At 43.1% G+C, this 23,831-nt stretch overlaps 1 pseudogene, besides 1 other annotated feature; it reads right to left on the reverse strand.

Moving 5' to 3' along the window:
- RPL31P29 (ribosomal protein L31 pseudogene 29) lies at positions 14,200 to 14,503 on the reverse strand (annotated as a pseudogene).
- Positions 15,101 to 15,400: an enhancer, noted in NCBI's record as "active region_25297". NCBI's record gives its function as "activates an Ori minimal core promoter by ATAC-STARR-seq in GM12878 lymphoblastoid cells {active_cell/tissue: GM12878}" and the evidence as "EXISTENCE:reporter gene assay evidence [ECO:0000049][PMID:35858748]".

The following is a 23,831-nucleotide window of genomic DNA, read 5'->3' on the forward strand; positions in this document are numbered from 1 at the left end:
GCTTAAGTTTACTGCAGACTTGGAGCAAAGTCTCTAAAGAGTGTGGTGATAAAATGGAGAATCTGGAACATTAGAGAAGGAATGCCTTTGTTTAGTGGGTGACTCCTTAAATAGCATAATTTTCTAAATTTTTTAATGTCATACAGTTATTATTTTGTAATCTAACGTAAAAATGAAGTTTAGGCCAGGCATGGTTGCTCACACCTGTAATCTCAACACTTTGGGAGGTCGAGGCAGGAAGATCACTTGAGCTTAGGAGTTCGAGACCAGCCCAGCCAACATGGTGAAACCCCGTCTCTACAAATAATACAAAAATTAGCCAGGCGTGGTGGCTCGTGCCTGCAGTCCCAACTACTTGGGAGGCTGAGGTGGGAGGATTGCTTGAGCCAGGGAGACAGAAGTTGTAGTGAGCCGTGGTAGGGATACATTTTTTTAAATGTTTAAAAAAAATAAACATAAAGTTTAGATGAAATTCATACATTAAGAAAATTAATTTGCTAGGCCAGGCACTGTAGCTCACGCCTGTAATCCCAGCACTTTGGGAGGTTGAGGCAGGGAGATCACTTGAGCTTACCAGTTCAAGATCAGCCTGGACAACATGGCAAAACCCTATCTCTACTAAAAATACAAAAAACTGGCCAGGAGTGGTGGCACGTGCCTGTAGTCCCAGCTACTTGGGAGGCTGAGGTGGGAGGATGGCTTGAGACTGGGAGGTGGAGCTTGCAGTGAGCTGAGATCACACCACTGCACTCCACCCAGGGTGATAGAGCCAGACCCTGTCTCAAAAAAAAAATTAATTTGCTTTTAGTCCAATGGTGACAAACATTGATTCATCCACTCATGAATGTATATGGTAGTTATAAAATAATATAGCGCAAAGTTCTAGCTACATAGATATTAAGGAGGCAAAGAGAAGGAATCCTAACTCAGCCTGGGGAGGAGTAAGAGAGGGAGTTTGGGAGGGCTTCCTGGAAGCAGTGACCACTGAGAGTTAAAACCAGAGAAGGAGTGAGGTCAAAGGAAGAACATTCTCTACAGAGAAGATAGCAATTAAAAGGAACTGGAGATCTAAAATAACTCTTCTTAATGTCTTTACTGACTTCTATGTGGGGCGTTGGGGGAAGAGCACTAGAAGAGGTTGAATATATCTAGAACATACACTATGACTGAAGCGAGTTTGAGAGACAGGGCTAGAGAGATAAGCAGGAATAAAATCAGGGAGAGCCTTGAGCACCACCGCATTAGGAAAAGGCTGCCGTATTAGGAAAGGCTGTTCAATATGACGTAATAAAACCTAATTATCGTAGGTTCATGAGAGCTTATCCAAGAAAGGTCCTGTCACTGTCGTAGCCAGGCAGGATATTAAAGATATTTCCGTATTGAAGACCTTTCCCTAATTCGCATCTCTGTGACACTGTCACCTACTCTTTCTTTTCCCATTCTAGCTCTTAGGCCTGGTGGCAATTCTGTAAGAGTGCCAAAAAGGAAGTACAAGCTTTAAAAAATAATTATACCATTTTTAAAACAACAAAACAAAACAAGTCACCAAAAGAAGTCTGCTTAAATTTTGCTTTCTGGGCTGCAAAGATCATGACCACTAGGAAGCTGAATTGAAGAAAAGCCCTACTTGTTTTGGCCAATGTTTTCCTCAAATAGAAGAGTCTGAATGTGTTGCCGTGTCCAGAGATTTGCTGGTATGTGGTTCAGATGCTTCTCCAGTCGAAGCTTTATGTGAAATTTTAAAAGGTGTAGGGCTCACCAAAGCCCCATAGGGAGCTATCAATCTATGTCATGGGGCGGACTCTGAATCCTTGTGAGTAATCCCCGCCTGCCTTCCCTCCCCCAGCTCTCTCCCCAGCACCATGTAAGGTAAGTTCAGCCAGCAAACTCAGATCTGGCTCTCTTTACCCTTGAGAACCTTGCTTATGCCTCTAACACACACGCAGACGGTGAACTGGGCACATTGCTTTCTACTTTTATGAAGGTCACAGACTCTTACTGCTAGAGTAACCAGATCTCCTGCCTCACCAGGCGCAGTCCCAGGCGGTGTCTGTGCTGTCAATATAAATCCCAATTTCTAACCACCTTCAGCAGGAGTTCTACCTCTGCTTGCAAGCCTTTCTCCCATTTATTCCACAGAGAAGCTTATACGATGGAACTCCCGTGAATTCCAGTAAAACCTAAGAATTTGAGAAACACCCTAGAGATTATGGTTGAGAGTTTAGCCTACAATTTATGTGTTCGAGGAACCTTCAGATAAATTATATAATTACATTTAATAAATCCTTGTTGCACTCGTCTGAAAAATAAATAGGTAATTTTTTAAAGCATAAGGAAGGCCCATCTCCCACCCCAAGCAAAGGTAATCAAGGAACTCGGAAAACCTAGGGCAAAGAGTTGAGTGAAAGCAGATCTGGGAAGAAGCCATGTGAAGCACCACTCATGAGAAAATGGTGTTTGGGGCCTGGCGCGGGGACTCACGCCTATAATCCCAACACTTTGGGAGGCTGAGGCAGGGGTAGGGGATCACCTGAGGTCAGGAGTTCGAGACCAGCCTCGACAACATGGTGAAACCCTGTCTGCACTAAAAATACAAAAATTAGCCGGGTGTGATGGCATGTTCCTGTAATCCCAGCTACTCAGGAGGCTGAGGCAAGAGAATCGCTGGAACCTGGGAGGCAGAGGCTGAGTGATAGATCAGATTTGCATTTGAAACCAGTTCCGGCCGTTTGCAGTGGCTCCTGTAATCCCAGCACTTTGGGAGGCTGAGGTAGGTGGATGGATCACCTGATGTCAGGAGTTCAAGAGCAGCCAGGCCAACAGGGTGAAACCAGCTCAATAAATGAGCTGGGCGTGGTGGCATGCACCTGTAGTCCCAGCTACTCGGGAGGCTGAGGCAGGAGAATCGCTTGAACCTGGGAGGTGGAGGTTGAAGTGAGTCCAGATAGAGCCACTGAAATCCAGCTTGGCAACAGAGCAAGACTCTGTCTCAAAAAAAAAAAAAAAAAATTAGCTGGGCATGATACTGCACATCTGTAGTCCCAGCTACTTGGGAAGTTGAGGCAGGAGAATTGCTTGAACCCAGGAGGCGGAGGTTGCGGTGAGCAGAGATCATGCCACTGCACTCCAGCCTGAATGACAGAGCGAGACTTCATCAAAAAAGATTTAAAAAAATGGCGTTTGGCCATGGTGTCAGTCATCAGATCTGGCTCCTACCCATAAGCTGAGTGGACAGCATGTTACTAATAGTGATTTCCCCATCCTCTCTGGCCATTCGGAAAAGCATGTTCAGCAGTTTCTGGTCCTTTGGCCCTTTCTCCTTCCCTGAGTCTTTTACAGAAGACTCTGAACTGATGTTTCACTGGTTTTATTTTTTATGTATGTATGTACGTATTGGAGATAGGGGTCTCACTCGGTCGCCCAGGCTGGAATGCAGTGGCATGATCATAGCTCACTATAGCCTTCAACTCCTGGGCTCAAGCAATCCTCCTCAGCCTCTGGAGTAACTGGGACTGCAGGCATGCACCACCACACCTGGATAATTTTTTTTTTTTTTTTGAGAGATGGGATCTTGCTATGTTGCCCAGACTGGTCTCCAACACCTGTCCTCAAGCAGTCCTCCCACCTTGGCCTCCCAAAGTGCTAGGATTACAGGCATGAGCCACTGCACCCAGCCTGGTTTTATTTTTTAAGAACAACCTTACTGAGGCATAACGGACATAGAACAAATGGCACATATTTTTAAAATTACAGTTTAATTGGTTTTGAGGCATGTTTATTTCTGTGAAGTCTCAACACAATCAAGATAATGAACATATCCATCACCCCAAAGTCTTCTCCTGCCCCCTGGTAATTCCTCCCTTTCCCCACTCATGCTCCCCAGATCCCATCCCCAGCCATCTTTCTTTTGGCTTGAAACAAAACAAAACAAACAAGAAACTTTTTAAAAAGTTCTTTTCAAATTCTTTTTTAATTGCCTAATTGAAACCTTCTGAAGCTCTAAGGTTTCTTGCTAATCCATATGAAACATACCCAGCAATCTGCTTAGTTGTCTGGCACACTTTTCACATTTAAAAAAAAAAGAATAAATAAAATACAAGAAAATTCCAAGGGAGCAAAGAGTGTATTTGGCTTATTTAACAAGCATAAGGAAAAGAAGTATTTGCTTTAGCTTAAAGCCATTGACAGCATTCTTTCCTATGGAAAAGGGAATGCCAGGAACAGCTAGACATTGAAATGGTCCAAGTTTTTATTAAAAAGTGAGAGATGGCATTGCTAAAGGAAATGCCTTCTTAGATAATAGAATTAAATCCTATTTCACCTGAGTGGAATGCCTTCTGTTTCCACAAAGCTATCAATTATAGAGCAGCTTCTCCAGCAGTACTTTAACTAACTGGAAACTTCAGCTTTGAAAACAATGCTCAAAGTTTATTCTTGGTTTGGATTGCATCTGCTCTAGGGCGGGGAGTGGGGAGGGAATCCATTTTTGTAAATGATGGGAAGCTTTTGGAAAAGCACGTTTCTGAGTGTCCAGAGATTCTTCCATGAATTAACTGCATGGGCCCACATACAAGTCATTTCATTTCAGCTTCTTCTTGGTATAATGAGAAGATTGAACTAGAAGAATCCTCACAGTCCTTCAAGCTCTGCATTTTATAGTGTGGGACCTTGTCAGGGATATCTTTGTCCAACAAAGAGGCTCAGCTGGTTAAGATTTACCCAGGAGTGCAAAGAAGAAAAGCATTCACCCTAAGAACAGCTTCCCCTCCCATAGCCTTTCCCTGTTGAAGGCTATGTATTACAATAGCTATTGTTGTATAGCTATTATACAATTCCAGATGATGTAAACAGAAAACGAATCTATTGAAATTTTAAAATGTTGCCAGAAAGTGTGGAGAACCATGCCACAGAACTGCTTTTGTGAGAAAATACTGCTGGTCCTAGATGCCACAATTTAGCCTGGAGTAGCTTGTGATGCATCGTTCGCAGCAACCACTAGCATGCCGGAGAGAGAATCTTCCCAGGCCTCTATTTTTATGTGCCAGCAGCTCTGAGTTCAGAGCCCCAGTCAAACACGTCCCAGCCTTTTTGATGCCGTGGTACTATAGAGAATTATATTTTGACATGTCCAGGAGCACTGGCCACCCCAAGCCCTAACCAGGCCTCTTCAAGGGCTGCAGAATTTCATATCTCAATATTCCCCTCACCTATTCATGGCCACGCACACTGGTTAAGAAGCTCTGCCCTGAACAGTTGCGTTACTTCGTGCCCTGTTTGCAACGGAAGCAGGGAAAACACATAACAATTTTTACTTTCTACTTCTGTAATAAAGGGGGGGTGCAGATTTCTATAAATTGGGGAATTCCCCAAACAGATGCAGGGCAGCGGTGGTGGGGAGGGAAGAGTCTCTAAGAGCATATTCCTGTATGCATAGCTGTTACTGTGGACCTTGCCAAAGCCACTTCTGCCATGTGACAGCAGGAACTCTATTTTGGATAAGACATGATTTCAAGAGGGCCTGATACCTCATGAGCATAAGATCTGCCTACCTCCCTGCAGCCACTCAAAGCAGCAATGCTAGATTCAGTGATCCCTTTCTTTCAAGGTTATAATTTCATGTATTTCCACAGAACCAGCCTCTGAGGCCCTTGCTTTAGAGGGTCCTATTTGGGCCTGCTACAGTTTTCAAGTTTGTCTCCTCCAAATCTCATGGTGAAATTTGACCTCCAGTGTTGGAGATGGTACCTAATGGGAGGTGTTTGGGTCATGGGAGCAAAGCCCTTGTGAATGCCTTGGTGCCGGCCTTGCGGTCATGAGTGAGCTCTCGCTCAGCTAGTTCCCGTGAGAGCTGGTTGTTAAAAAGAGCCTGGCCTCCCTTATCCCCACCATGTGATCTCAGCATGCACTGGCTCCCCTCCACCTTCCATGAAGCCCCTAAGCCTTTCATCAGACGCCCAATCTTCCAGGCAGCAGAATTATGAGTCGAATCAACCTTTTCTCTTTATACATTACCCAGTCTCAGGTACTTCTGTATATCAACACAAACGGACTAAGACAGGGCCCTTCTCTGTCCACACCCATCCTCACCAGGTGAGGACACCAGGGAACAAACGGGATGGCCCCACTCTAAGCCCACACCATACACTCTTTCTAGCCTATGCACCCGGCATTCAGGACCCAGAACTGCCTGCCCAAATGATCCTGAGCCTACTTCCAGGGTCAATACAGGCCTTTTCCTAAGGGAGCAAAAATGTTATTATTGGGGGGCACACTCTGAACACTGAGCAATGGTCAGTGGGGGACTGCTTTTCAGGGAGAGCATGTGGCTGGAGGGCCTACAATCCCGTGTGTAGGACAGAGCAGGGGGAAGATAAGGGAGGGGTTGCGGTGGAGGGGCACTACCTGTGTTCTTGGCCCTGACCTTGTGTCTGTAGCACCCACCCAAAAGTCTGGACTTCCAGGCTGTCACCTGCCCTCAAAGCCAGATTATCTATGTCATGTGGCCTTCCACAGTTCCCTCGATACAAAACTGGAAATCATTTGGCTGCTAAATTGTAGAGAATCAAAACCCTCTGAGTCACAGCTGTACAGAACACATTTCACACCAAACTTAAAAATCCCATCAGACACACAGTTTATAAAATTCACCTTTTAAATACAAGCTGTCACAATGGAGTTCACAGAAGCAACAAGTCAGGGAAAATGTCATTATCTTCAGTTTAAGTCTTAATCTGACTAGGCGGTGAGTGAAATTATCCACAAAGTAATTCTCCAGAGAAGGCCTCTCTCTAATGACCTGAGTAAGGCGACCAAAGAGATTTTTTTTTCTTGGTAGAGAAGCTAAACATAAAAAGTCCAATCCCTAACGATGGCCATACCTCTCCTTCACGGTGAAAAAGTGATTAAAGCTTTGCGTAGTTAAACGAACTACCTCCCAGCACCATTATATTTCTTTCTGCTTTTTAACATAGGTCTTCAGAAAGTGCCAGTCATTCTTATCTGGGAACTCAAATTTTACTGTAACACAATGACCACCTGAAAGCAATACAGGCTGTTGCCCGATCAATAGAACTGGAGCTCTTTGATGTTTTCCAGCCACAGGTACCTCCTGACCCCTCCATCTTTGTTCATACCATCCAGTCTGCCCAGTGGCTTCGCCCCTCCTCTCTTCCTATTGAAATCCCAGCTCTTCCTCGAGGCCCAGCTCAAATTCCACCCCATCTGGTGGGGATCTTTCTCACAGCTCTGAATTCTGAGAGCGCTTGCTGTTCGTGTCATTCATTTGGTATCTATCGTGTGTTGCTTTTGGTTGCTGATTTTCTTGTGAAATCAACTTTCTTACTCTTTTTAACCTACTTGGAGCTCTGATGTCATTTACAGCCACCCCCTTAGTTCGTTGACAAGTGGCATTTAATAAATTCATTTTGATTAATTAAATTAAAGTATTAATAAATATTTTGATGGAGTATAGGCTGGCTTCTACATATAATAAACATTTTATATAGATTTACTGTAATATATAAGAACAAGTGTTTAAACTGATGAAGCCCAAAGACAATATGAGAGCCTTGATTATTAAAGATGCAATTCAGTATATTGTATATCCATATTCATAAGTCTAAAATGGAAACATATGTTTTGGAGAGATTTTGAGAAACAAAATTTGACATCAATCGGGTTTGTTCAAATCCTACTCGTGGATTTGGGGTGGCCTCAGAGAATGGCTGTGGGCTGGACCACCACCAATCCTGGGCCTGGCTGAACTGGGGCAGGAGTTAAACTAAAGCAATCTAAATGCAGATGGAGGGAAAACTTCTGTGGTCCAGAAGAAACCAGGATCTGAACATCAAGTTTAAGATTGAAAGCTAGTCTAGAAACTGAAAAACCAAAAAGGGGAAAGAATGCAATGTGTAGAACAAGTCAAGGCAAGTGTTTCAAAATTAAAGTTGTGAACAGTTGGAAAATCCAGGAGAAACTTTTACGTGATGCCTGGGGACCTAGGGGTAAAAGCAGAGGCTTAAAGTAACCACACAAGACAATATAGTGATTGTTTGTTAAGTATTAACACCCAAGATACCAGAATATTCTCTTCTAAAGATACCCACCTTCCCTCCACCTGTCAATATGTTCCATCCTTCACTTACTCCCTGCACATGTCTTTAATCATTGTATTAACTATTTTTTAAATAATTTTTATTTATTTTTATTTTTTGAGATGGAGTCTCATTCTATCACCCAGGCTGGAATGCAATGGTCCCATCTCAGCTCACTACAACCTCTGTCTCCTGGGTTCAAGTGATTCTCCTGCCTCAGCCTCCTGAGTAGCTGGGATTAAAGGCATGTGCCACCACACCCAGCTAATTGTTGTATTTTTAGTAGAAACAGGGTTTCACCATGTTGGCCAGGCTGGTCTCGAACTCCTGATCTCAAGTGATCCGCCCGCCTCGGCCTCCCAAAGTGCTGGGATTACAGGCATGAGCCACCATTCCCAGCCCTAAAAATAATTTTCTATTCCTATTTTTGTCTCGTCTCACTAGACTGTAAACTTCTGGAGAACAGGAACTCTCTCTCTCTCTGTTTTTTGTTTTTTGGTATATCTGCAGAGTGCAGTATGCTGCCTGGAACCTAGTAGGTGCTCAGTAATAATATATTTAACTCTAACCTCTAAACTTAGCTGCCTGGTTCACACATATATGCTCAGCACCCAAAACAGTGCCTGACATATTATAGACTCAAGAAATATTTGCTTAAAGAACAGGAATGAATGCATGAATGCCAATGCAAGGCCAATGTGCCACAATGTGCCAGACCCACCCTTGGTATTGGGGAACATGAGCTTTCCCTCTAGTAGTTTAATGGGATTAAATTATTGTATATTTTATTCATTGTCAGGCTCCACAGGCAGTGAGTGTGGAAGGGATAGCCATAGGGCCATCTGAGACCAAATGCCCCCAGATGATCTAGCTCTAGTGCTATAAACCATTAAATAAAAGATTATACAGTCAAAAACCCATAGCAGATATTAACAGTCTAAGGCATTCTTACTTAGTATATAGAGCATTCAAATTTTAGTCATAGACAGCCTGGGTTTATTGTCATAGCTCAGGTGTCATTGTCATTGTCATTGTCACTCCCCAATATTTGTGAGAACAAAACACATCTCTTAATAGCAAACAGATACCATAAAAATCTCATCATCACCACCCTTAGATGTCCCCTGCCCAACCATAAAAACATATACGCCTTTCTTTACATCTGTGTCACAAGTGGAAGTTAATTCTCCAACCCAGTTTATACCTTGACATAGACAAGTCTTGGACCTCATCTTCTAAAGGCTGAGTCTTCAGCACACACACGTATGTGCATATGCATTCACACACACATATACATACATGTGTGCACATGCATACACAAGCATGCACACACATACACACACACACCAATGTGGCTCCCTGAAGGCAATAGTTCAACAAACAGTCCCTTGAAAAACCACACCTTGAAGACTACTGAATTAGGCCGCGTTCAGTGGCTCATGCCTGTAATCCCAGCATTTTGGGAGGCCGAGGTTGGTGGATCACTTGAGGTCAGGAGTTCAAGACCAGCCGGGCCAACATGGTGAAACCCTGTCTCTACTAAAAATACAAAAATTAGCCAGGCGTGGTGGCATGCGCCTGTAGTCCCAGCTACCTAGGAGGCTGAGGCATAAGAATCGCTTGAATCCAGGAGGCAGAGGTTGCAGTGCTCAAGATGGCGCCACTGCACTCCAGCCTGGGCGACAGAGCAAGACTCCGTCTCAAAAAAAAAAAAAAAACTACTGAATTAGGGTATCTCAGTTAATTACTCATTTATTTTATTCATTTATTGACTTATTTATTCTTTATTAATTAAACATTTATTGAGTCCCTACTCCTGCCAAGTGCTTGTTTAGGTAGTGCAGGTGATTCAAAGATTAAAAATAGGCCAGGCATGGTGGCTCACGCCTGTAATCCCAGCACTTTGGGAGGCCAAGGCAGGAGGATTGCTTGAAGCCAAGAGTTTAAGACCAGCCTGGGGAACATGGTGGGACCCCGTCTCTACAAAAATAATTAAAAATTTTTAAAAATTAGCCAGGCTTGGTGACACAGGACTGTGGTCCCAGCTACTTGGGGGGCTGAGGTGGGAGGATCACTTGAGCCCAAGAGGTCAAGGCTGCTGTGAACAGAGATTGTACCACTGCACTGCAGCCTAGGCAACAGAGGGAGACCCTGCCTCAAGTAAGTAAATTAATAAATAAAAACATATTTGTTACCTTTATGGAGCCTACAATCCATTGATGAAAAGAAACAATCAAAAATCACTGTGGAGTGGGATCCATGTAAAATAGAGATGCTGAGAAAGTTCTGGTCACCCTGAGGGCAGGAACTCACTTTTATCCGATGACTGCTTTGTGCGGGATGCTTCTTAGTGGGTATCTCACTCATTCTTATAACAGACCTGGGAAATAGGTATTATTATTATAGCCATTTTCTAGATTTAAAAAAGGAAACCTGAGGAGTTCAAGTTTTGTTCCAAGTCATACAGCTAGCAAGGAGCAGAATCAGGATTGAAATCTAGTTGTCTTTGTCTGGCAAGTCTGCTAGCTGGAGCATTAGGGGCGTGGCATCATTAAGGAGATAAAACTGTAAGTATTGAAAGATTGAAAGTCCTTTACCAAACAGAACGAGTGTTTGGGGGAGAGGGTGCTCTGGGCAATTGCACCAGAGTATCTGGCGGCTCCATAGAGGAGGTACAGTTGCAAGCAGGCCTGCGTAGCTGAACAAAGGAAAATGGTGAGAGAAGAACGCACTTCACCAGGAGAGCTTCCCTAGGTTTCCTGATTTCCTTTGGAAGTTATTATTCTGGACCAAATCTGCCATCTTCTTCTCCATGACCAATCTGAGTTTGCAAACGTGTCTGTTGCCAGCCAGAGGGATTCTGTCACCCTCTCTTTACAGTCAGCTTAGATATGTTTATTTGTCATCACTGCCTGTCACTCATTAATTAACCTCACTGCGAAGAACTCGGGCCCATCAAAGCAGCATTCCCAACATTTACGTCAGTTTTCAAACTTGATTTCTTGGTGTGGAGGAGAAGCAATGTTGTGGAATGTTTTTACTTCATGAGCCACGGAATTTCTATAATTGCTTTTTATTTTGCCTGTGGTTGAAGATAACTCCTTATTTTTCCATCAAACAGTAAACACTGCCTTTGACTCCCTGGACTTCCTGAATAGGAAGATAAATAAGAATGACTCTTACAAATTTTATTATAAGGAACTGTGTTTTTAAGTTCATTGTAAGCACTGTGTAATACATCCCAAACGGAATAAGATGTGATTAGGAGAATAATCATTTGCCTGACACTCCAATTCCAACCCCATCCCTATCCCAGAGGTTGGTCTGACTCTGGCTACTTTCCAGGAGTACAGATTGGGTGGGGATGAGGCCTACAGTAGCCTGACTCATCTCTGCATCTTTTCTTGGCTCTCTCTCCTCATGGACTCTAAGCTCCTTCTATCATTAGTGTCTACCATAGTGTCTAGTACATAGTGAGACCGTGGTTTATTTTTAAGTTAATAAGTCAATAAATGATCTCCAAATGAGGATATCATCTACTGTGTTTGTCAATGAAAGAACCTAATAAGACAGTTAATTTAGGGCATCCTCTTACAGGAGTAAGGTAAGTTTTGATCAAGGGAAGATGAAAGAGAATTGCGTTTAGACAAATGACTACTCCTGATTCTCACCCCCATCTTCAATGTTTCGATTCTATTCCCATATATGAATGTCTTTGCGCAGCCCAAAGTAGGGCCAGCAGTTACACCCCCACCAAAGTGCCTGGCCTTCCTGACTTAGCTTCTTCTCTTTATTTTCGCCATCAATAATCTGCATCCACACACGGCCCTAATCTCAGCTGGATGGCAATGAGGATGAGATGCTGACAGAGTCTTGACTTTCTAGAAGAGGACAAGGCCCCCACGGGCTGGATTCAGGGGTATGAGAGGACTCCATGGGGCTGGTAGTGTGGATGCTTCCATCCAAGCAGTAGGCAGGTGAGGGAGTAAGAGTCTCCCATGATCACCATGTAACTGAAGATGGGGTGAGAAGTGAGATTGAAACAAACCCCCCACACGACCCCATGGCTCACTCACTCTCTTCCAGGCAGATAGAGGAAGAGATGGTATCATGACGATGAGACAGTAAGCCCCATGGCCCCATGAAAGGCGGTGTGACTGGGACAACTGCGTCAAGGAGTCCTCAATGTGAAAAAAAAAATGGCAATGAGGACCTTGCCATTCATTATAGAGCTCTGGGTAAATAAAAAACAGTGGAAGTTTGTTTTCTGAGCCACCGGCAAGCAGCTGATCAAGAAGAAAAGTGGATGCGTGGCCTTGCCAGATAGAGCAAAGCTAGCCATGCTCATGTGCCTGGCCCCTGCCACAGCCCAACTTGGCCAGGGACAGGGATGGGGTACGGGGTACAGTGGAGGCCAAAGGTACTAAGGACTGTGGCAACATGCAGGGGCACAGAAAAACTGGGACCTGTGACCCTAAGCACCCATCAAATGCCCAGAGGCGCTTAGGGGAGGAAGCAGAGCCAGTCCTCAGGCACTAACCTTGGAGCAAAGAGTCATGGGAGAAAAAAGACACCCCGTTAGGGAGGCCACCCAGCCTCACCTCCACCCTGCACTCCTTATACTCCCAGATAGGATAGCACTGGTCTCCCAGCAACTGCGGCTGTAGCCACTAACTCACATGCTCCTTTGTCCATACTCCTGCAGGGGGAAACGGTGCCAGTTTCAACTCAGAGTTTGGAGAGGGCTTGCAGCGGGGAAGTGAAATTAAAGTGACTGTGCGTGAGGTCCCTTGGGTCAATTCAATGTATTGTTGTGGCTTCCACATCTGAATGTATAGAGAATGGATGTGTTACCTGCTTGCAGTTCTCAGTCCCTCCAGTGTCAGAGGGGTTCTCCCTTTCGGAGTCGGCAGCATATAGAAAGGTGCCAATGGGACATCACTCCACCACCACCTGGACGCCTGCCTCCCTGTCCCCTCCCAGATGGTCAGTAGACGGGAAAAGGGAAGTCACTAAGAACATGGCTTTTTAAAAACAAAAAAGTAGCTATTAACCTCCTACTGAGCACTTGTTGAAGCTGGAGGTCTTGTGATAATTCCCATTTGGCACTGGGTCACCTCAGACTCAGTAACTAACAAGATGGGAAGCCTCACTTCCTAACAAGCCTCACTTCCTAAGTGAAAAGGATCTAGTCAAGAACACAGAAAGGTCCTAAATTGTCTTTACCCAGATCTTTCCTGTTTTGTTTTGTTTTGTTTTGTTTTGTTTGAGACGGAGTCTCGCTTGCTCTATCGCCCTGGCTGCAGTGTAGTAGCATGATCTCAGCTCACTGCAACCTCCGACTTCCCAGTTCATGCAATTCTCCTGCCTCAGCCTCCTGAGTAGCTAGAATTACAGGGGTGTGCCAGCAAGCCCAGCTAATTTTTGTATTTTTAGTAGAGACGGGGTTTTACCATGTTGGTAAAACAGGCTGGTCTCGAACTCCCGACCTCAGGCGATCTGCCTGCCTCAGCCTCCCAAAGTGCTGGGATTACAGGCATAAGCCACCACACCTACCCTACCCAAATCCTTTCTGAGGGGTGTATTTCCGTGAGCAACTTTGAGGAGTGAAGTAAAGTCTCAATCTAAGTGAAAGCATTTTTCTTACTTACTGCTTGCTACAAAATCATGGGGTCCTCCCTATTGCTCAGTTGAACACAAACCCATTATCTGTGTAGCATCTATCTGGACCCTGCACATTACCCTGGGACTTGGGGACAAAGGAACTCACACAAGCATAATGATGCTTACACTATTTATTGTGCGATGAGTAATACAGTCTTTTGTCCTCACCCTGAAATTTCATGTTTTCTGCCATTAGCCACACAACTATAACAGTCTAACCCATTAACTTGTGGGAAAGGCAAAACCTCAGAACAATCACAGTTCTTGATACTGGGTCCAGGAAGCGGTGGGAGGAAAGAGCTGACATTCAGCAAAGTGAGTGATCACGTTGACGCGTCATTCACTTAGGATCATTTCTTTTTCTTTTCTTTTCTTTCTTTCTTTTTTTTTTTTTTTTTTTGAAGTTGTATAACTTATTTGACAATCAGCACTTAGTTCTTATTCACATTGACTGTAGATTTCTGAAAGTGGCAACAGGTGCATAGGTAACCAATGTACAGACCTTGTTTGGCTCATTTCTGAACCACACATGGCATGGGACATTCCTCATTCCTTTGGCCCGGAAAGCTTTGCTGAGCTTAGTATGAATGTGTGTAATGGGAGTTCCCCTCTCCTTCAGGACAAATTTCTGGCCCTCTTTGAGTGCCCCAAGGGGTCTGTTTCTTGAAGCCCACTCTGCGAATGAGCTTGTGAATGTCGATGGTTTAGTCTCTGGTCACCACCTCATTGAGGGCAGGTGGCCCTTCTTGCCACCTTACTATTCAGAAACCATTTTTGCCAGGTCCAGATAGAAAGGAAGATTGCAGGGGACTGGGTGAGAGGGAAAGCAGAGATTGCAAGTACAACTTCTGCATCAGCTGGAGGCAGGAAAAGTTGGAGGCGGGGGCGGCCTTTGCACGTTAAAAAGGGGGCTAGTTAAAGAGAGATTATTTCTACCACCCCTTAAAAATGAATGCCACATAATGGAATTTCCAACTGTACATCAGGTGGATAGATGGGAGAAATGCACCACCCCTTCCCTCATGCGTGAGACGGCTGACACATCCCTCAAACAACGTGGAGGCGGTCATCATACAAGGCAGTGGAGAGCAGTAGAAAAGGCTTGGGCTGTGGATTTGGACTGATCTTGTTTTAATTCCTGGTTTTGCCATTAACTCTGGGAACTAAATTATCTAGGGCCCCAGAACCTCATGTTTCTTCATCAATCCAATGGAAATGTTATCTCATGAGAATTACTTGTATTTGTTGTTATCTCATGAGAATTACACACGTATTCGTTGTCATGGGAATCACCCAGCCCTGAGTGGATGCCTTAGTGTTGGAGTCCTCCTCCTTTCCCTCACCTCCTACTCCACCTAGAAAGGACGTGCACCCTGCCTCACAGCCCCCAGCGGTGACATCCTCTTTTCTCTCTGTCATTCACACCCGCCCACCTCCCACGCAGACTCGTGGGGGAATTTGGTCCACATCAGCACAGAAGGTCTTTTCTTCTCATGCCCACATGTTGGGGAACCACCCATTTGCTGGCTGTGTCTGGGAGAGGCTAGTGATCATGACAAAGCCTGACGTGCAGGGACTTTCCCTCGTCTGATGGCGGCAGCCCCTTGTCTTCAGCCTTCCTCCTGCAACTTCAGTTCTGAGCCAAAAACAAGGCTGAGAAAAGCCTGACCTCCAGTTTCTACCCTGGTGTAGGGGGTTGGAGTCACTTTTCTGGGCCCCCACAATCGTTGCTAGATGGAAAATATGCACCCTTCAGTGCTCCTCCCAGCTCCATCTCCTTCCTTGCCTTCTCCCCCATCCTTCCTTGGCTTCCAATCCCCTTCCAGACAGAGCAGAGAGGCTGGGCCTTCAGGAGAGGGGGCAGAAGGGCTTTCTGAGCTCCCTGAGTGCTTGTCCTCCTGCCACAGACCTCTTCTAGGCTGCTTTGAGTTATTGTTTATTTTTGACCAAGGTGTAAGTTCCTGGAGAGTCTATTTTACTTACCTCTCCTCCATAATGCATAGTAAAGCACTCTGCATGTCACAGGCACTTTGCGACAATTTGACACTGGCTGCATCACCTCAGTCCCAACTTTTGCTACTTTGGACCTGTTCCCCAGGAAACACAGGCATGGAAGGGACCTCAAGAGGTCATCTGTGTCGTTCTTTTCAGAACAGGCAGGAAAAATGTTACCGCAGAGGCAACCGCAGCCAAGGGAGGGTAACTGACCTGTCCCAGGTGGGACAGCTGGCAATGGAAAGGGGGCGTAGAGGCAGGGATTGTCATGGCGCTCTGTTCTTTGAATTATATTGAACTATAATTTGCCTTGACAACTATTGAGTTGACTAGAGTAAATCTTCCCAGAAACCACTGGCAAGAACATCCACTAAATGCTATTTGCAAGAAATGCATTAAAAGACATTCATCAGTGAAAAGAGAGACTCCAGCTGCCCAGAAAAGCCTGATGAAGTTTGCAAAGGGCAAGAGTAGAAAAAAAGTTACTTTGCCTTTTCCGTAAAGTAAAGCCAAGTGCCAACCGGCACTCAACACTGAGACCTCCTCCTTGGGGCCTCCTTTCTTTAGGCCAAAGAGGAGCTTCAGAAGAAGCAAGAAATGAATGTTTATATGTTTTTCTCTCGAGTCTAAACCATGCTTTTCATCCCCCAGGTTTCCTCTGCTTTTTTCACTTTTTCGTATTTCTTTTTCCCAACAGAGATGGCAGTGAGGAAGAGCCCACATGTCATGGCCATACCACCTCCATTTGGTGTTAGAACAGATTTCAAATTCCTTTGTTTTGTTTTTATTCCATGGTGCTTTTTCCATAAGTGGTGGTTTCTATTAAATCCATAAAACAGTCATTTGCAGATGGTCTGGCATTTTTTTCTTTGTCATAAAATATTATATGCTACTAACAAGGTTAACTTCATCCACTTGATATTTTCATTGGGTATATATATTTTAACTCTGAGTCATAAGAAAATAATATGGCAGACAAAATATACATTTCCTGAGGCAATGAGAAGGAAGATTTGAAACACAGATTTCACTGAGTTGGGCCTGCCCACTACAGATATTAATAATTTCCTTTTGTAGACTATTTGAAGCCTATTCTATGAATATATTATATAACCCTACAATTTCAATGCTGGAAAAAATGTCAGAATTCATTCCTTTCCATCATCTAATTTTCCAGAAGAGGAAACTGAGGCTTGGGCGTGAAATTAATTGTCTGAAGCCTCCTCGTAGTGTCAGAGGTGGGACAAGAAATCCAAGTTCTTCATTTTTAAGTGAACTGTCTCTGAAAAAAATAAAACAAAATATTGCTCAGTAACAATGTACTACTAATGCCTTCTTATAGTAAGCCCTCAGTGAATATGTCTTTTGAGTACTTGATTCATGGAAACAGTAAAAAGTCACCAGTGATAAATAAACAAATGAAGGAGAAGAGACAAATCTCCTATGCAAATGAATTCAAAGTAATTTATGTAGATACTATCGAGGAGGTGAAGCAAACTCTTTACCTAAATGTGGGCTGCCCATAGTGACTTCTTTCCAAAGAGCAGAGTATGGAAAGCGGGTGTGGGGTAACTCCACAGTGGAGAAACCCGACCAACGGCCCCTCTGCCAGGTGATCAAGGTCAACATCGACAGTGTTAAGTCATTTGGTAGTCTGTACGCTGTATATGATTTGATGAGAATGGTACTCCACGTCTGTGGCCTTCCTCCCAAAAAACCCGTAACCCCAGTCCAATCATAAGAAAAACATGAGGAAAATCTCAACTGAAGGACATTCTACAATATACTTCAACAGTACTACTCAAAACTCCCCCAAATAAGGAAAGCCTGAGAAACTGTCACAGCCAAAAGGAGCTTAAGAGGCACGATTAAGTGTAATGTGGGAACCTGGGACAGAAAAAGGACATCAGGGGAAAACTTATGAAATCTAAATAAAGTATGGACTTTAGCTAATATAATGGATATTGGTTTATTAACTGTGACAAATATGCATACTCATGTAAGATGTTAATAATAGGGAAAACCAGTTGAGGGTAAATGGGAATTCTCTGTACTTTCTTCTCAATTTTCCTGTGAATCTCAAATTGTTCTAAAAAATATAGACTTTTTTTTAGGTGGGGCGGGAGGTATGTGCTCTCTTCTGTCACCCAGGGTAGAGTGCAATGCCATGATCTCAACTCACTGCAACCTCTGCCTCCTGGGTTCAAGCAATCCTTTCATCTCAGCCTCCCAAGTAGCTGGGACTACAGGCGTGTGCCACCACACTCGGCTAAATTTTTTTTTTTCTAGTAGAGATGGGGTTTCACCATGTTGGCCAGGCTGGTCTTGGACTCCTGACCTCAAGTGATCTGCCCACCTCGACCTCCCAAAATACTGGGATTACAGGTGTGAGCTACTGGGCCCGGCCTAAAGACTTCCAATTTTTAAATCACTGGTAAACGGGTCAAGAGAAAAAGCAAGGGTTTTCTGTCGTAACCCATTGTAACCCATTGCCACAATATGTCCTTTTCCTCACCTATCCACCTGCAAATGCACCTTTCAAGGTTTTCTTAATAAGAAAGGGAAGAGAAGTCACTATGCTTTAACTTCACTAGCATCTTTCCCATCCTAATATCTGGGCAGTTTCTTCACACAAACCCTCAAGAAGGGACTATAGAGTAAGAAAACTAGAATGTGTGATGCATGGGGGCAGGGATCTTTGTCTGTTTTGTTCACTGGTGTTTCCCAAGTTCACAGAAAAGGTGTCTGACACATAGTAGATGATCAATAAATATCTGTAAAATTAAGTGAAAGCCATAAGTAAGAAATTAGCTTTTAAAAAGATATCTGTTGTATGAAATGTGGTCTAAAATGCTGTAACTGCACAATTATTAATGGTCCATTAAAAATACAGAAAATAAAAAATAAACAAACTGATTTTCAAAATAAATATATCAGAGCTCGTATACTCAAATCAGTGTAAGCCTTCCAAATTAGTACTCCTGGCAGGCACACACTTCATTCAACCCTGATGTTACTACTCTAGATAATTTTAGAATTGTTCACTTAAAATTTTTTAGCACTTACAGGATCAGATCCAGACATGTAAAATGAGACCTTCGTGATCGAGGCCTCCAACTGTTTCCTCTAAACCACTTTCCTCGAGACAAATGTCTTCTTGCTGGAAACCTTCCCCCTTCTACTCCCATTCCTCATCCATCTAAGAAATTCCAATTCCTCCATAAAATCCTATCTTCAGAGACACGTTCCCTGAAAACCCTTTTCTTACCGTCATATCACCACCTCCCTGAGAGAGAATTCATCATTTTTTGGTCCTGCATTTGTTCCCTATTTTTACCCTTATCATGATGAGCTGTGTCTACGTGTTTATCTCGTTGTTCTCTAGATTAGCCTGTGAGCTTCTCAAAGGCAGGAGTCTTGTATCATTCGTCTCCATATCCGCAGAGCTGCCTACAGAGCTGCTAGCTCAATAAGTGCCTGTTGAATTGAATGGGATAGAACAGAACTGTAATTAAGTCCAAAGTCATAAGACATATTCCTTTTCATAATCTCAGTGCTGGCAAATCTCAATGCTTTGAGGCTGGATATGTGACTGAAAAAGATCAAAGTCATTTAGTACCTACTTTGATGAACAAAGTGGGTAAAAATGCACTGAGCAATGCTATTTTATACAAGTCCAGAAATGTCTACCGCTAAGGAGATGAATGGTCTTATATGTCTCACCAGGAAAACAGGTTCAAAAATCAGTCTTAATATTGTATAACTAAATTCATACCTATTACAAAATGCTTACATATGTAGACAATAGAATCTGGTTATCGCAATAATTTGTTCAACCATGTATTCAATAAAGTTGTTTTTATTAAATGTAATAAGCCTAGCACTGTCTAGGTCTGAGGTATTGCAAGAATAAAAAGACAAGGTCCTGTCCCTAAGGAACTCACATTCAAGGGGTGGAAGAAGAGCTACACAGTTATCACACTAGTCAAACTATAGTAAGTGACAAATAAAGGTGTAAACACTATACTTTGGGACTATAGATTCTGGAATTTTTCATCTTAACTGGGAAGGTATAAGAAAGGATACTCATTGAATTGCTATCTTTGGCCAACCTCAGCTGCATATGTCTAGGGGATAGTGTAGATGATGTGTAGTGAAAGTTGAAACTGGAAAAAAAGAAGGTTTAGGCCAGACTGTGACAGCATCTCAGTGCTGATCTAAGGCATCATTCTGTGGGGAAAAAAAAAAAAAAACAAAAAAAAAACCACAAAAAACATGAAGCTGTTGGAAGTTTCTAAACTCATAGCAACTACCAGACCTGAGATTCAGGAAGATGACTCTGTTGTCAGTGTGGATGACACGTAGAGGATGATCAGAATAAAGGTGAGATCAGAGAAGCATGAGAAGAAGGAAGCCCAGTTATGGAAGGCATTCACGTAGGCCCACGATCCTAACAGTTTCTCTCACGAGCCCTTTACACTCTTAAAAACTACTGGGAACCCGGAGAGTTTTCACTGTTGTGGGTTATATCTATTTTTAATACATTATAAGTATAACTTGAGACAAATTTAAAACACAAGAATGCCTAAGGACACTTTCCATTAGCCATCAGAGATAGGACATCCCATGTCCTGTAGCTTCTAAAACACTCCACTTTCTACTTCTTAAAGAATGAAGGTAAACAAGGAAAATAACGTTTTACTATTACTATGAAAATATTTTCACATCACAGACCCCCTGAAAAGGTTTCAAGGATGCCAGGGATGTTGGGAACACTTTGAGAACCATTGATCTGGATATATGACTGAAAAAGACCAAAAGCCATTTGGTACATACTTTGATGAACAAAGTGGGTAAAACTGTGCTGAGCAATGCTATTTTATGCAAACCCAGAAATGTCTACAAATAAGGAGATTAATGGCTTTATATGTCTCATCAGGTAACCAAATTCCCGTTAGACAATAGGCCCAAAGCAGAGATAGAAGAGAAGAAAAAATAACCAATCAATTACACTTCAGAGGTAACCTTGGTAGGAACTGGTGACAGATTGAATTAGTGTGGGGTTGGATGGGGTGGTTTGGGAGCAGATGAAGGAAGAAAGAAGAGCTAAAAATAGCTCTCAGAGTTTTATTTCGGGGAACTGTGCGATTTTTTGCCCCAGCTTCTCCAATATTTACATATGTAAATATTTAATAAAATTAAAATTTGCGTATGCTTACATAATACTTTTAAACTGCGGCTTGGTTGTTTGGTCTTCTTATTGAGATTCTTAAGCAACCCCATGGTATTCTACCCAGAAATTTTCTTCCTCCTACCAGCAAAGTACCAAGGATAGTAAGGACTTGGTATAAATGGTTGATGAATGAATGAGCACCAACCTAGATACATATAATACATAATTTTCCGAGCCCTCAGATGAAAAATATAAATGTGCAAACTTCTACTCTTAAACAATGAATCACCTTTTAAGTATGTATTGAAATTATTTTCATAAGGGGGCACCCCTCACCCTCCAGTCCAAGAACAATAGTACTAAACCCACTTTAAGAAACACCCATCACTTAACTGTGCCTTTTTTGAAGTAGGGTGTGTCCATTTAATTAGTTTTAATTTAAAGACCAATTAACAAGGTTTCAACATAGAACAACATAATAAAAATCGATTTTTTTATTTCCTGAACTACTGAATCATCTCTGATGATTCTGACTGGATCTGAATTTATTTGTACAATACAATTTTATTCCAAAGTGTTTACGAAAACCACATTTTAGTTCTTTCCCTACTTGGTTCCACACCCTTCTGTGTTTTAGCCCATTAACCTCAATAAACCTGCTCAGTTTGCCATTTGATTTCAGTCAGATGCCTTATTCCATTTTTTCTGTCCTGCAACCATAATGTGACGACAATCTGGGTACAATTGCAGAATCCCACGCTACGCCACAGGACATGGTGTGGCCATTCACGTGCCTTAACAGTTCAGAAACATTTGCTCAGAACATGAAGAGCCAGGATGAGACCTTAGCCCATGTTCAACGACGTGCCTTCTCCAACCCTCCATGTGGCGGATCCTGCAGTGTCAGAGAGGGCTTGTCATTTCCTGATCACCTTGTGCACGTCATGCTTTTGTGCTTTTCCTCATGCTCTTCCCTTCATCTGGTTTGTTTTTCCCTCCTTCCTCTTTCCTTCTTTCAAGGTACAGTTCAAATGACGCTTGCTATGGGAAGTCTTCTCCGGTGCCTCTGGCCTGGTTTAGCCACTCACTTCCCATAGCTCCTGCTCACAGCTCTTAGGAGTTTCACAGTCCTTTAGCTCATGACTCATTAGGCTGTGGGCTGCTTTTAGCCATAACGTCATATGTGTAATCAGCCCTTCATAATTATTGCTTCAATGGAATTGACACCCAACCAGATAGTAGGAGAGATAAGCTCAAACCTCCTGACTCAGCACATGTGCACAAGTTTCCCAAATCCCTAGTCCACATTAGATCTTTTTCCTTGTCAATAAGAAAAAGCTTCTCTTAAGAATTATTAAACTTCCAATTCACCTTCTCAGAGTGGATAATAAGAAAGCTTTTATGGTGGGGTGGCAGGGTGGGGAATAGATATGAGATCCACAACAATGAGTGGGGTATGTAGGTGTCTCCAAATACTTCCTACTTGGCATAGGTCTAGCCCTTTATCCAAGCACACTAACTTACTTTGTGAACAAATGCTATGAGATCTATCACAGTCCCAGGAATATAGTGTGTCTGAACTCATCTCTGAGCCTTTGCTTACTTTACTCCCTCAATCCGGACTGTCCGTCAGCCATTCCTTCACTTCTCCCTTTAAGACCAAGTTCATATGGCTTTCCTTCCAGCTTCCTCAACCAGAATCAGAAATGTTAGCACTGGAACTTCTACTCTATTGCTCACACCCTTAATTACCAAATGAGGGACTGAGGCCAGTGAAGTTAGGTGACTTGTCTAGGACCACATAGCTGCCCTGGAATTCAAATCGAGTGGCTTGCAATCCTACCTTCTTTTAATCATATCCACTTCAATCTTGACTCACTTTGTTTCTCTCAACTCAATATCTGGATAGAGTTGTTTCATGTGGATAGATGTGTCATTTCCACCATTTGGTAAAACATCCGGGCACAGGATTATGGGTGGATATGATGCAGTGAAAGACACATGGCATCTGGAGTTAAACAAACCCAGACTCAAGAGCATCCCACGGTCTAACTGTGTGACCTCGGGAGAGTTATGCAAACTTCTGAGCCTCTATTTCCTCATCAGTAAAATAGTAAAACACAAGTGGGGCCAGTGAAGTGCCAGGAGGTTGGACAAGCTATCAGAACCTCAAAACGACGTGCTGCGTGGACAAGGGCACGTGTCTCACACTCACTGGCCTAGAGTGGGGTGGCCATATCTGCATGGTCCCCTTTCAGTTCTAAACAGTTCCTTGACTCAGGGATTCAGGGTAGTGTCTACTAAAGTAAAACACCAGCTTGTTTTCAAGAAGGGAAATGTTGATGCTGCCTCTGCATAGAGTCATAGGGAAGAACAACAGATAGCCTGCCAAAGATATGGTCCAAAACATAAAAATAAAACATGTCAGCTCACTGCCAAAGTGACTTCAAAATAGTCAGGATCTTAAGTAGTTCAAAACCCTAAAGACTGATCTTGTGGTCAAGGGCATCAACCTCACAGTGCCGCTGTTTCAGTCCTCTTCCCCTGACCGAGGGCCACGTTTCCTCTTGACCAGATGTGATATCCTATGACCCTTACCTCTGTGTCCCTACGCATGGAATTTTATTTTTAATCATTTGAAAGCAGAGTAAGCACAAAGCCTGCTCACTGAACCCTGGGTCAGACCATGTCATATATCTACTTTAAAAAAAAAAAAGTACTCTCTTTTATTAAAAAATAGAAAAGGAAGCCCTAAGAATGTTGTATGTTTTCTGTGTTTATATTCACATTGTGAAATGGGTAAAATAATACTAAACCCTTAATGGTGGTAACCTCAGGAGGGTGTGTAGAGATGAAATGATTGTCTTTCTTTACCTCTTAGAACTCTGAATGATACCAATGAGCAT

This window comes from Homo sapiens, chromosome 6 (genome assembly GCF_000001405.40).
Source record: "Homo sapiens chromosome 6, GRCh38.p14 Primary Assembly".
Taxonomy (NCBI): domain Eukaryota; kingdom Metazoa; phylum Chordata; class Mammalia; order Primates; family Hominidae; genus Homo; species Homo sapiens.